The sequence below is a fragment of the Homo sapiens genome, chromosome 12 (assembly GCF_000001405.40).
Source record: "Homo sapiens chromosome 12, GRCh38.p14 Primary Assembly".
NCBI classification, from domain to species: Eukaryota; Metazoa; Chordata; class Mammalia; order Primates; family Hominidae; genus Homo; species Homo sapiens.
Window position 1 is genome coordinate 15,729,631 of NC_000012.12, and position 13,957 is coordinate 15,743,587.

Consider the following 13,957-nt stretch of genomic DNA (forward strand, 5'->3'; position numbering starts at 1 on the left):
TTTCATTTAGTCAGTGTATTTTTTATCTCCCTTGAAATTTTCTCTTTATCCTATGGATTATTTAGAAGTGTGTTGTGTTATCTTCTCAATGTTGGAGATTTACTTATCTTTCTGTTATTGATTTCTAGTTTGACTCCACTGTGTTCACAGAATGCGTGTATGATTTCAATCTGTCTAAATATGTTGAGGTACTTTTTATAAGCAGGAATACAGTTTATTTTGATATGTACAGTGCCTTCATTAATGTTTACATAGGTATGATTAACTCTCAAGGTCTGTACCTCCCCACACACCTCTTGAATAGTATCTCTCGATTAATCCTGTTTAAATACATTTTGATTTAACTATTCACAATACACTTCTAGGGATCAAGAACCTAAAATGGCTCCGTACTGGCTATCACAACACTGTAAATTCACCTGTGTAGCTTCTGAAGTCCATCGTCACCTGGAACCCTCTCCATTATATCAACTCCCATCTCTATAACTTTGGGGCATCTCAACTTTTCCTTAGTTTTGATAACCATATTGATAATTACAGTTATTTGATAAACACTTTTGTAATACACACACACACACAGAGTCATTTACCCATTCAGCTAACTTATGAAATAGGTATGATAATCATGATTTTACAACAGAAGAAATAAAAGCTCAGAGTTTGGTACTTGCCCAAGACCACATAAGTTAAGTGGCAGAGCCAGGTTTCAAATTCAGATCTTGATTACTCTAAAACTTCTGCTGTCCATCACTGGAAGAATAAAAGCATGACTTTTTTTTTAGCACTTGATTCCATCCAGTTTAATTTAACCTATATTGGGGAGTATAAACTGTAAGCATGGAGCTAGGTACTTGAAGACAATTCTGAAAAATAAAGATTCAACAAGATACACTAGAACTAGACTATAATTGTCTGCAGGCAGCTTAAAAACGATGGGACTTTAAGATAGATAATTCTAGTTTGTAAATAAAACTATGAACTCTTTGAGGGCAGGGGCCTTCTCTTTACCCTGGCATATGACTACTCAATCTTCTCTGTATTTGCTTCCTGTTTTCCTTTTAAGAGAATTACGAACCTATTAGGACCACTATACATTGTTATCAGTATCGACTAGTTTCTAACCGCTGCTCATCTATACTTCCTTTCTTGTTGGTTCCTTAAGAGAGTCTCCCATAATAACTATGTCCTCAAATTATAATATAGCCCTTCTTTTCCTTCACTCCCCTCAGAAAATAATTGCATCTCCCATATAACTAAAAAAAAAAGAGATACAAATGGCATGCCCTCCTTTACATATAAATAAGAATATCTACAATAGCACACAAGGTCTATTAGATGTTAAATACTGCTTTAAAAATAGATTCACAGATGACATTTCAAATATCCCATTTACTTATTTCAGAAATGCCTCTTGTGCAAAAAGTTCAGTCAAAAATATATATCATAGTACCTTAAAGGCATATCTATATATGACATAGAAATTCATCTTTTTTAGATAGAATAATTAAAATGTCATGGGCAACTGCTATCCAGGTTTTTAGCTAGCTTAACCAAATCCTCTAAACAGAATTCCTGTAGCCTTGGAAATGTTTATTCTCTTTTCAAAGTATTTTGAAGACAAATTCAGAATATAAAACTTTAATAAGCCTTCCACCATTAAAAATATTTAATTGACTTTTTTTTTTTTAGATGGAGTCTCACTGTGTTGCCCAGGCTGAAGTGCAATGGCACAATCTCGGCTCACTGCAACCTCAGCTTCCCAGGTTCGAGCTACTCTCCTGCCTCAGATTCCCAAAAGCTGGGATTACAGGTGCCTGCCACCACGCCTGGCTAATTTTTGTATTTTTAGTAGAAACGGGGTTTCACCGTGTAGGCCAGGCTGGTCTCGAACTCCTGACTTCAGGTGATCCACCCACCTTGGCATCCCAAAGTGCTGGGATTATAGGCATGAGCCACCATGCCTGGCCTTAATTGACTTTTAATTGGCTTTTTCACATCATGTGACTTCATGCTAAAGATTCTAAGAGCTAAAGTATTTTCTGAATAGAGAAGATTTTTTTCTAGTATTCTTGCATAAAAATATTTCATTTTGTCTTCGTGTAAGGGTCAATAATTTCAATCATCCCCCAAACTGGCAGCAAAAAGCTGTTCAGTGTGCTGTTAGCTAACCCCTACAGCTTGTGCAGTCATATTCTGAATGAAAAACAGAAGATAAAGTGTGTGTGTGCATGTGTGTGTGTAGGCAAAAGGAAGCTGGGTGGTTAATCACTATATATATCTGTTCCTTAAAATCTGATTTCAGGATGGAATTTTTTCATTTTATCCATAAAAAGGAAACAAACTGAAAAGGTAGATTTTTTTCTTTCAAACTGGCTACTACTTAAATAACTGCCTACTCCTGAGAGTAGGTAAGTCTAAAGTGAAACTACGCATTTCATAAAACTCTAACCCTATTCCCAGTAATGCAGCTCATTAGTGACCAATTAACCCATTTTCATAAGTCTATATTAATCTCAGCCAGAAATGTTGACATATCTCTAGGGCTGGCTGGACATTCTCATCTTAACGAGATGAATGGTGTATCAAAGAAACTATGACTACACACAATTTGTCAAGGTGATCTACTGTATCGAGACCTTCATCAACAATGCATTCCATTTTGAGCCCATTAGTACAAAACTCCCTTTAGGTTTTCCCACATAATTATGGTGATAATGACAACAACAATGAGGAGAAGATATCAGTAATAACAATACTTACATTATTCTGTGAACTTCTTTGTGCTCCACAATGTACGAGGCATTTTATATACACTATCTCATTTAATCCTAACAATCCCAACACTACACCCCTTTTACAACTATAACATTTAAGGCTCAGAGAGCATGCATGCCCAAAACTAAACAGTGAAGACTATGAAGCCCGGCCTATCTGCTACATCCTACACTCACTATCTACATAAAAAAGCAACTGGTAAATGTTCCTTAAAACTATTTTTCTTTAAATAGTCAATTATTTTTTGGAGAAGTCAAATAAATGACCTACTGTTTACTAAGAAACAACATTTCTTAAAGATGAAAAAGAATATGATTTGCAATAAAGAGAACACAAAAGTACTTGCCAGATTACTCATAGTTTGGAGGTTACAGTGGCCACAGGAGAATAAAACTCTTGAGCTAGCGCTGAAGATTAAAGGACATGTTGTTAATCATTGTTAAGGCTTTGAATACAGCCACCTCGGTCATTATGCAAGGAACAGAATAAGTAAGCTATGTGAGGAAAATATAACGTTTTCTTGTAGACTAAGACACAGAAATAGCAGCTGCAACATTAGACAAAAATGACCACCTAGGTAGTCATGACTACCACACTAGAATTGAACGATACCTAAATAATGGAGTACATGGAGATGATTTTACTAGCAGCTGACCAGCATTCCTCTCCCAAAACAGATACTGGAAAGAAATATAATGTATTCGTCCATTTTCACACTGCTATAAAGATACTACACAAGATTGGGTAATTTATAAAGGAAAGAGGTTTAATTGACTCACAGTTCCACGGGCTTAACAGGAAGCATAGCTGAGAGGCCTCAGGAAACTTAGAATCATGGTGGAAGGGGAAGGGGAAGCAAGCCCGTCTAACAGGTGAGAGGGGACAGTGTGTGAAGGAGGAACTGTCAAACACTTAATAAAACCATCAGATCTCATGAGAACTCACTCTCTATCGTGAGAACAGCATGGGGAAAACCATTCCCATGATCCAATCACCTCCCACCAGCTCCCTCCCTCAACACATGGGGATTCTGGGGATTATAATTTGAGATGAGATTTGGGTGAGGACACAGAGCCAATCCATATCATATTGTTCATTAAATAGTATCTTGGCACCTTTAAAAAGCCTAGATATACCTTTTGTGAGATGAAGAAAGAATAAAAGGACATGTGAAAACACCTCAGCCCAGAGATAAGAGGACCACATGTTCTTGGTGGATGGAAGAAGAATAACAACAACAGAAATAAAGGCAGGTAAAAAGAAAAACAAACAAACAGAAAAACTAATGGAGATAGAAGAAATATCCATTCCATTTTACTAAGCATCATACCACATATATCAAGGCATCCAGATGAATGATTAAAATTCTAGAGAAGGGACTAGGCTTTTCTCCACAGCAAGAAATGTAAAAACATTGAAAATAATGTAAGCTGGTTTTTAATGGAAAATACATTTTTATTTTTATTTTCTTGAAAAAGGGTCTCACTCTGTCACCCAGGCTGGAGTACAGTGATGCAATCTCAGCTCACTGCAGCCTTCACCTCCTGGACTCAAGTGATCCTCCCACCTCAGCCTCCCAAGTCAGTGAGACCCTCAGCTAATTTTTGTATTTTTTGTAGAGAAAGGGTCTCTCCATGTTGCCCAGACTAGTCTCAAACTCCTGAGCTCAAGTAATCCTCCCATCTCAGCCTCCCCAAAGTTCTGGGATTACAGGACTGAGTCATCATGCCTGGCCAGAAAATTCATTTTTAATAACCTATAGATTAACAATGCCTTCAAAAATTTTCAAGTGATGTGTAGTTCTAAAAATGTCAATGCTTTCAAGACCATATAATCAGTTTAGTTTTGTTTTCTCTCCTCCTCAGCTGCTTCCTCCTCTTCCTTTTCTTCTATTTGTTTGCCAGTTTATTCAGAAACAACATATAAGATGGCCCTGTTTTACTACTGTTCCAGGGGCATTAGGCTACAATAACATTCAAAAGTTTCATGCTTAAAAAGATTCTCTGTGGTTGGGCACGGTGGCTCACACCTGTAATCCCAGCACTTTGGGAGGCTGAGGCGGGTGGATCACGAGGTCAGGAGATCGAGACCATCCTGGCTAACACGGTGAAACCCCGTCTCTACTAAAAATACAAAGAATTAGCCGGGCATGGTGGTGGGCGCCTGTGGTCCCAGCTACTCGGGAGGCTGAGGCAGGAGAATGGCGTGAACCTGGGAGGCGGACCTTGCAGTGAGCCGAGATCGCGCCACTGTACTCCAGCCTGGGCGACAGAGCGAGACTCCGTACAGAGCGAGACTCTGTCTCAAAAACAAAAAACAAACAAACAAAAAAAAACAAAAAAGATTCTCTGCACGTAACTTTGTTAATTCCCATTTAACTCACTGTGACACTTCACGATATTAATACTTCTACCTTACATTGTTCATAATAAAATACTTTCATATCGATGATCTCAATTGATTCTTATAATATGTAAGCTGGAAGGTAAGCAGGGCCAACTGCCATATCATTTCCATTTTAAAAATAAGCAAACTGACACAAAGATGTCAAGGAACTAGGGTCACAACACTGAAGGGCATCTGTAGCACAGCCCAGGTATTGACAGGGAGCTCCGAATGCCTAGCCTGGAACCCTCACCACGACTTCACACTAACAGCATTTCATGGATAACTGTAGTATTCCCAGGTACATGCAAATGACAAAGTTTCCAAAGAAACAGTAGACTGATTTAAGTATACTAATTTTTCTACAAATGAACTCACCTCAGAAATGAAAATAAGCTCCAATTCTTACGTTTCTACTTTAGTCCAATGAAGGCTAAGTTAAAGGTATTCTGCATGTAACAAAATGATAAAAGAAAAATATTCATTTTGAAGCACAATATGCAAACCATAGTTGCTTTTGCTTAAGAAATATATTTCATTCTTCCCTATACTTTTTTGCTCCCTCTTTTTTATCAAGATTCAAAATTATATAGATGGAAAAAATGAAGAGGAAAGAGATCATGAAGGATCAAATATTGTCTTATGGCGCATCCCACGTTAATGCTACTTGACTTAATCCTTACAGTAACCCTAGGAAGTACTGAAAAAGCTAACATTCTAAGATTAAAACTATGATTTGAATCCATGTCTAATCCTAAATGCCTCAAAGCTACTTAATTTTGAATCTTTTTAATATTTTTCTAGCGTTTTATAAACTGTAAGTAAAATAGGCACATTTAAGTACTTCTTCTATGTAGATGTGCATGTATATTGAGCTCAAAGCCTACAAATAAACATAGTAATCAGGTTATTTAAATTGTAGACCTTTTAAAAGTGCATGTTATTAAATGTAACCTATATCTGTGTAACTTACTGTTGTAAAATATATGTTGAATATGTATCTATCAATTAAATATTTAAACAATCCATAATTGGCAATATTTTTAAAAACTTATATAGAAAAAAATGCCAATAATAGGACAAAGACAAAGAGTTTGTGTTTTTTTGTGTTTTGTGACAGGGTCTTGCTCTATTGCCCAGGCTGAAGTACAGTGTCATTATCATAGCTCACTGCAGCCTCAACCTCCTGGGCTCAAGCAATCCTTCCACCTTGGCCTCCCAAGTAGCTAGGACTACAGGTGCGTACCACCATACCCAGCTAATTTTTAAATTCTTTTGTAGAGATAAGGTCTCACTATGTTGCCCAGGCTAGTCTCAAACTCCTGAGCTCAAGCAATCCTCCTGCCTCAGCCTGCTAAAGTGCTGGAATTACAATCATGAGCCACTGTGCCGGGCCGAGTTTGTGTTTTAAACCAAAAACTATCCTAGTATCATGTCACTTTAATGAACTGTAATAATTAACAATATTAACTTTTTTATAACATGAGTCTAGCACCAAGGAAAATGGACTTTGGAGTAAAGGAGATCTGGATTTGAATTCCAACGCCATAAGTTAACACTACGGAAATACTGAAGAGAATTTCATTCTTCTGTACAGAGGTTAATATAATAAAAAATCACTTGCCTGGAGGCCACACATATATGACAACCTCAGCAATGTCATAAAGTAAGTGTAAAACCTATATGGCTAGCTAAATAGATGTCACACCCTCTATCTATGTGCTGAACTTCTGCATTTTACTCACAGAAGATGCCCTCAAGCTTGGTTAAGATCTTATTAATAAATCTTTCTTTTTCTATAGGTTCTAATGAAGTTAGTAAGCAAATCAATCCGCAGCAGGTTAGAAGCATTAAATTTGAATTTAGGAAGCTAGGGTTGCTAGATGTGGCAGAAAGAAGAAAGAAATTGGTGTATTATGATAATGAGAGAAAAATAATACATAAGATGCAAAGAAAAAATGCATAAGGCATCCTCAGAGTATGTGATATAGAACCATACAACCAAGCATATGTCAATACCCTCCATGGAGACACTATATTACAGCCCCAATAAACAGTACGCATGATGATGAATTTACATTATGCTTATGAAGGATGGGATGTGCTCAATGCTTATAAGAAAAATTATCCTAAATACTTAAAAAAATAAAATCTTCATATTTAAAGTAACATACTTTAATTCATGTAGCTAGACAGCTAGGAAACTCAGTTGTTTTTGAATTTGAAAAGCACACTATTAGGTAAACCTGATAAATGAGATGTTAGTATAGTTAACAGAACAACTATTAGGGGCTCAGGCCTCATACCTAGTACCAGACAGTGTACTAAACACAATAGTGTAGGTCTCTTCTTTCAAAAAGCTCACAGCTCAGTAGAAAATACCACCATAAATATCAATAAATTGTAATACTATTTGGTGCCGTAATAGAGGTTAAACAAAAGACATATAATGTTTAATTTTCTCCTTTTATGACATTACCAGCTACTGAAGTTCAAAGCCTAGACACTTTAGTTCAGAAAGGGTTGCAAAACGTGACTTTAAGAAGGCTGAAACAAACAAAATAGTTTAGAAAAAATATACCAAAGGGAAGACTCTGTAACATAGATTAAAAATAAGCATCAGAAGTTCCATCCCTCCTCCTTTCTACAAAGAAAAATAATGACAACAACAACAACAACTAACATCTACTGAGAGCTTACTATGTTCCAGGCTCTGCTCTAAGTGCCTAATGTATATGAACTCATTTAATCCTCACAATGACCCTATGAGGGAAGTTCTATTATTATCCTAAATTAACAGATGATAAAATTGAGGCATGAAGACATTAAATTATTTGCCCAAAGTGACACTGGTAAGTGAAGAACTAAAACTGAAAACAGAAAGTCCGGCTTCAGAGCCCATGATGCTAACTATTATATACCCAAATATTAAAAACTTAATGATGCTACTGTGTTGTAGAAAATATAGTTCTCAAAGCATATCCTAGTGACTTTTTTTTAAATATTATTAAATCTGTTTCAACAGTCCCGCGACACCAATTATTTTCCATTTTTGCTCATTTACCAATACATGTTTATGATTTGGATCTATCTGCTCTATATTCCTCAGGTGTTTTTTGTAAGTACATGAAAAACTTCCCTAAGACTCCTGTCATTAAAAACTCAGAAACTAAGAAAGAGTAGCATTTTTCCACTTTTTATACAAACTTTAAAATTAGCTAAACAAATAGTAAATGAGGGGAATTCGCTCTTCACAGAAATATTTTTTATTTTAATTTTGTATATAAACTACCGAAATAGATATATTTCCTAGTGTTATTTTTGGTAGATAGTGTTTAATACATAGTAGCTAATATTTTAATTGTGAATATCTAACTATTATTCTAATTAATATCACTTTTATTCTAACTAATATTAGACTCATTTCTCAACTGCCAGCTATATTTCCCATAGATGTAAATGATCATTTAGAAACACACCCACCCTGAGTGGCTAAGAAACCCTTTTGCACATTGCAGATATAGGTAGTCTTCACATAATTAACAAGATTTTGCCTATAACTCCTATTCACCTAAGTTGTGAAGATAAAGGATAAATAATATTGTTAGGAAAATTTAAAGATGGGCTTCTGTCACTTAAATACCCAAAGTTAAGTTACATTTTCAATATGTTTGGTGTTTGAAGGATCAATCTATACTAAAAATATCAAAATAATTCATTGAACTTACTGAAGGTCCTTCTATAATAAGAACATTCTTAGCCCTGAAGATAAAATATTAACAAAGAACAACTTCCTTCCAACTCACTTTATGCCCTAGGGCATTCTGCATTATTATGCCCTAGGGCATTTTAAGTACCTTAAAGCACTTGTGTTGTATTTAATATCAGTCATTTGTTTGCATATTTGTCTCATAGTTGGAATATAAACTACAAAAGGACACAGGCCAACTTGGTTTTTTTTTTGTAATACCAGCAGCTACAAAGTCCTGGCAATAGCAGGTGCTTAATAAATGTTTGTTGAATCCACTTACAAGCATACACCTTCACTCCAAGGACCTCAGATTAAATCATTAAGCGTGCCACGTTAAACAGTCCATGGTGGAGCTAAATCTACCAAACCTGAGACACGACTCTCAAGAGACTTTCATTTGGTCTTATTCTGACCCCTTAGTCCATGCAGGCATGTCTATGCAGATTGCTCTAATATAGCACAGACTACATCCCTGGGTTACTATTCTAAGCCTAGATCCTTTAATCTATAATAATAGCTAATACTCACTGATAGCACTCTATGTACCAGGTACAACACAAAACACATCATATACCTTAGTTCATGTGATCTTTACAATAACCTGAGAATAGTATTACTCCCATTTTACAGGTGAAGATGCTGAGGCCTTAAAGAGGTTACAAAAAATGTTTAAAGTCCCAAGATCATAGGGCAGAGGCAAGATTTGAGCCACATCTGTCAGACAGTACAGTCCACATTCTCCACCACTGACATTCCTAAACAGAAGGTGTGATGATTAATTTTGGGTGCCAACTTCACTAAATTAAGGAATACCTAGATAGCTGGTAAAACATTACTTCTGGGTGTATCTGTGACGGTGTTTCTGGGAGAGATTGGCGTGTGAGTCGGTGGCCTGGGGAGGAGGATCTGCTGCCCTGAATGTGGATGGGCACCCATCCAATCGACTGGGGGACCAGATGGAACAAAAAGGTGGAGGAAGGGTGAATTTCTTCCCACTCTTCCATAGTCAGGACACCCTTCTTCTCCCGACCTTGGATGTTAGAACTCCAGGGTCTCTGGTTTTTGGACCCTGAGACTCACACCTGCAGCTCCTCAGGCTCTTGGGCCCTCAGCTTCCCTGGTTCACCATCAACTTCCCTGGTTCTCCAGCTTGCAGATGGCCTATCGTGGGACTTCTCAGCCTCCACAATTGTGTTAGCCAGTTCCCCTAATAAGCCCCTTATCATCTATCCATCCATCCATCCACCCATCCATCCATAAATAGATATCCTATTATTTCTGTCTCTGGAGAACTCTGACTAGTACAGAAGGCTACTAGTAAACAAAGCTTTTCAAAGAAGCCTCTAAAGGTCCCTTGAGGTCACTTTAGATAGTTTTTAATGAGCTTTTAAAAAGCAATGTTTGTTTCCTTGTGGGAGTCTACCATTTTCAACTCTTACATTCTCTGACACACAGGGACTCAGGAATACAGAGAATACTAACCAAAAGAAGCTACTCCGAGGTGACGGCAAAGTTAAGGATAAAAAGCATGCTCAAAGAAAAAATCGGAGCAGACTAGAAATCTTGTGAGCAAAACACTAGAAAAAAAAATCAAACTCCTAGATGCACAATCTTATTGCATAAAGGACCAAATCTCTATTAATAACTAAAATCTTTATAGGGCTTAAAAACTCTAGAGCACCTACAAGCATACACACTAAGTTCACTAAATGGGAAATTCGTAGGCTGGGAGCGGTGGCTCACGCCTGTAATCCCAGCACTTTGGGAGGCTGAGGCTGGCAGATCATGAGGTCAGGAGTTGGAGACCAGCCTGGCCAACATGGTGAAACCCCGTCTCTACTAAAAATACAAAAATTAGCCAGGCGTGGTGGTGCATGCCTGTAATCCCAGCTACTCGGGAGGCCAAGGCAGGAGAACTGCTAGAACCCAGAAGGCGTAGGTTGCGGTGAACCGAGATCATGCCACTACACTCCAGCCTGGGCTACAGAGCAAGACTCCATCTAGAAAAAATAAAAAATAATAAAAATAAATAAATAAATAAATAAATAAATAAATAAATAGGAAGTTCCTGAGGCAAAAAGCTGCTGCTAGAACATATGTGTCATATAGATTTAATGCTAAAATTTACATGAGAGCCAGTACAGGCTAAAGAATAAGACAGTCTCTCCCAAGTTTAAATTTCAGCTCTGCCAATTAATACATGACTTCAGGAAAGGTACTTATCAACTACTCTGAGCCTCAGTCTCCAGTATGTAAAATAGAAACAATAATACCTCCCTGTAGCGAAATTAAGAGAAATGTGGCTAATGCATCATGTCCACAACCATTAAGTTGAGTACATCTACGTGGATTGGTAATGATAGAAAAAAGGTCAATTTCTTTTTTAAAAAATGGTGCTTTTAGTGACCTGTATGTTCCAAAGCAGCAGCAGCCAAGAAACTGACCAATAATGGAGAGTTGTCCTAAAGTCCAAATTCCCAGGCAGAATTGGACTGCCCACAAAGAAGACCCTACCCAGAGAGAGGGGTATATCTAAAAAATGCTCTTCACCAAGGTGGGCTTCATGGGCAGGCAGCCAGTACAGCTGCATAGAGTCGTGGGCTCAAAAGGTCCAGGACCTTGTTCTGTGGTAATTATCTTTAAATTCTTAATAACTGTATCTTTGAATTTGCATTTTGTATATAAAGTCCAATGGGGTAACAGAGCTTGGCTTAGCACTGTGACTCATGTGCAGTCCTGCCTCCAGCCACCCCCCTCCACTAGGGACAGAAACTGGGTTGCAGAGAGGAAATGGCCATCCCCATCCTGAGCCAGCAGTGAGATGCCACTTTAGGTGGGTGACTCAGTGGGGTCCTCTTGCCCACCCCCAATTCAGGTACCAAGCGAATCCTGGCAGGATCATTTGTAGGTTGACCATCTGCAGTTTGGGGTAGAAGGGGAAAGTGACTTTCCTAGCTGGAACCCCCACATTTCATTTTGTTCTTGGCCCTGCAATTTATCGAGCCTGCCCCTGTCCCTGACTTTGTGAGGGCAACAAAAATACTACCAAGAGGAGAGAGGTGATTGGTTAGCACATATCATCTTTTAAAGCGTAAAGTCCACTGGGAAACTATTAGCTACTCCAGCTTAGATTAATCAAACTGTTGCCTTTGCAACATCACATCCAGATCAGTAACATTAAGTCTTTTTTTTTTAAGTTCTAGGGTACATGTGCACAACGTGCAGGTTTGTTACATATGTATACATGTGCCATGTTGGTGTGCTGCACCCATTAACTCGTCATTTACATTAGGTATATCTCCTAATGCTATCCCTCGCCCCTTCCCCCAACCCTACGACAGGCCCCAGTGTGTGATGTTCCCCATCCTGTGTCCAAGTGTTCTCACTGTTCAGTTCCCACCTATGAGTGAGAACATGCAGTGTTTGGTTTTCTGTCCTTGCGATAGTTTGCTCAGAATTATGGTTTCCAGTTTCATCCATGTCCCTACAAAGGACATGAACTCATCCTTTTTTATGGCTGCATAGTATTCCATGGTGTATATGTGCCACATTTTCTTAATCCAGTCTATCATTGAAGGACATTTGGGTTGGTTCCAACTCTTTGCTATTGTGAATAGTGCCGCTATAAACATATGTGTGCATGTGTCTTTATAGCAGCATGATTTATAATCCTTTGGGTACATACCCAGTAATGGGATGGCTGGGTCAAATAGTATTTCTAGTTCTAGATCCTTGAGGAATTGCCACACTGTCTTCCACAATGGTTGAACTAGTTTACGGTCCCACCAACAGTGTAAAAGCATTCCTGTTTCTCCACATCCTCTCCAGCACCTGTTGTTTCCTGACTTTTTAATGATTGCCATTCTAACTGCTGTGAGATGGTATCTCACTGTGGTTTTAATTTGCATTTCAACAAAAAAAGAGAATTTTAGACCAATATCCCTAATGAACATCAATGCAAAAATCCTCAATAAAATATTAGCAAACCGAATCCAGCAGCACATCAAAAAGCTTATCCACCACAATCAAGTTGGCTTCATCCCTGGGATGCAAGGCTGGTTCAACATACACAAATCAATAAATGTAATCCAGCATTTAAACAGAACCAAAGACAAAAACCACATGATTATCTCAATAGATGCAGAAAAGGCCTTTGACAAAATTCAACAGCCCTTCATGCTAAAAACTCTCAATTAACTAGGTATTGATTGGATGTATCTCAAAATAAGAGCTATTTATGACAAACATACAGCCAATAATACCATATTGAATGGGCAAAAACTGGAAGCATTCCCTTTGAAAACTGGCACAAGACAGGGATGCCCTCTCTCACCACTCCTATTCAGCATAGTGTTGAAAGTTCTGGCCAGGGCAATGAGGCACGAGAAAGAAATAAAAGGTATTCAACTAGGAAAACAGGAAGTCAAATTGTCCCTGTTTGCAGATGACATGATTGTCTATCTAGAAAACCCCATCGTCTCAGCCCAAAATCTCCTTAAGCTGATAAGCAACTTCAGCGAAGTCTCAGGATACAAAATCAATGTGCAAAAATCACAAGCATTCCTATACACCAATAACAGACAAACAGAGAGTCAAATCATGAGTGAACTCCCATTCACAATTGCTTCAAAGAGAATAAAATACCTAGGAATCCAATTTACAAGGGATGTGAAGGACCTCTTCAAGGAGAACTACAAACCACTACTCAATGAAATAAAAGAGGACACAAACAAATGGAAGAACATTCCATGCTCATGGATAGGAAGAATCAATATCGTGAAAATGGCCATACTGCCCAAGGTAATTTATAGATTCAATGCCATCCCCATCAAACTACCAATGACTTTCTTCACAGAATTGGAAAAAACTACTTTAAAGTTCATATGGAACCAGTAAAGAGCCCGCATTGCCAAGACAATCCTAAGCCAAAAGAACAAAGCTGGAGGCTCACGCTACCTGACTTCAAACTATACTACAAGGCTACAATAATCAAAACAGCATGGTACTGGTACCAAAACAGAGATATAGACCAACGGAACAGAATAG

The 13,957-nt window shown here is 37.9% G+C and overlaps 1 protein-coding gene across 16 annotated transcripts in view; it reads right to left on the reverse strand.

Moving 5' to 3' along the window:
* The window catches only part of EPS8 (EGFR pathway substrate 8, signaling adaptor), a 169,255-nt gene that overhangs the window by 109,497 nt on the left and 45,801 nt on the right, over nt 1-13,957 (reverse strand). For 2 of the 16 annotated variants that reach the window (XM_047428498.1, XM_047428494.1), the window contains exon 1: nt 2,761-3,164. The exons of 13 other annotated variants lie outside the window; for them this stretch is intronic. Coding sequence is in view for 1 of the 3 variants with exons in the window: in XM_024448878.2 (XP_024304646.1) it covers nt 3,122-3,133 (12 nt within the window). In the remaining 2 variants the exon portion in view is untranslated. Of the gene's footprint in view, nt 1-2,760; nt 3,165-13,957 lie in introns of those variants that run through there. One more of the 16 variants, XM_024448878.2, reaches the window with a different exon arrangement.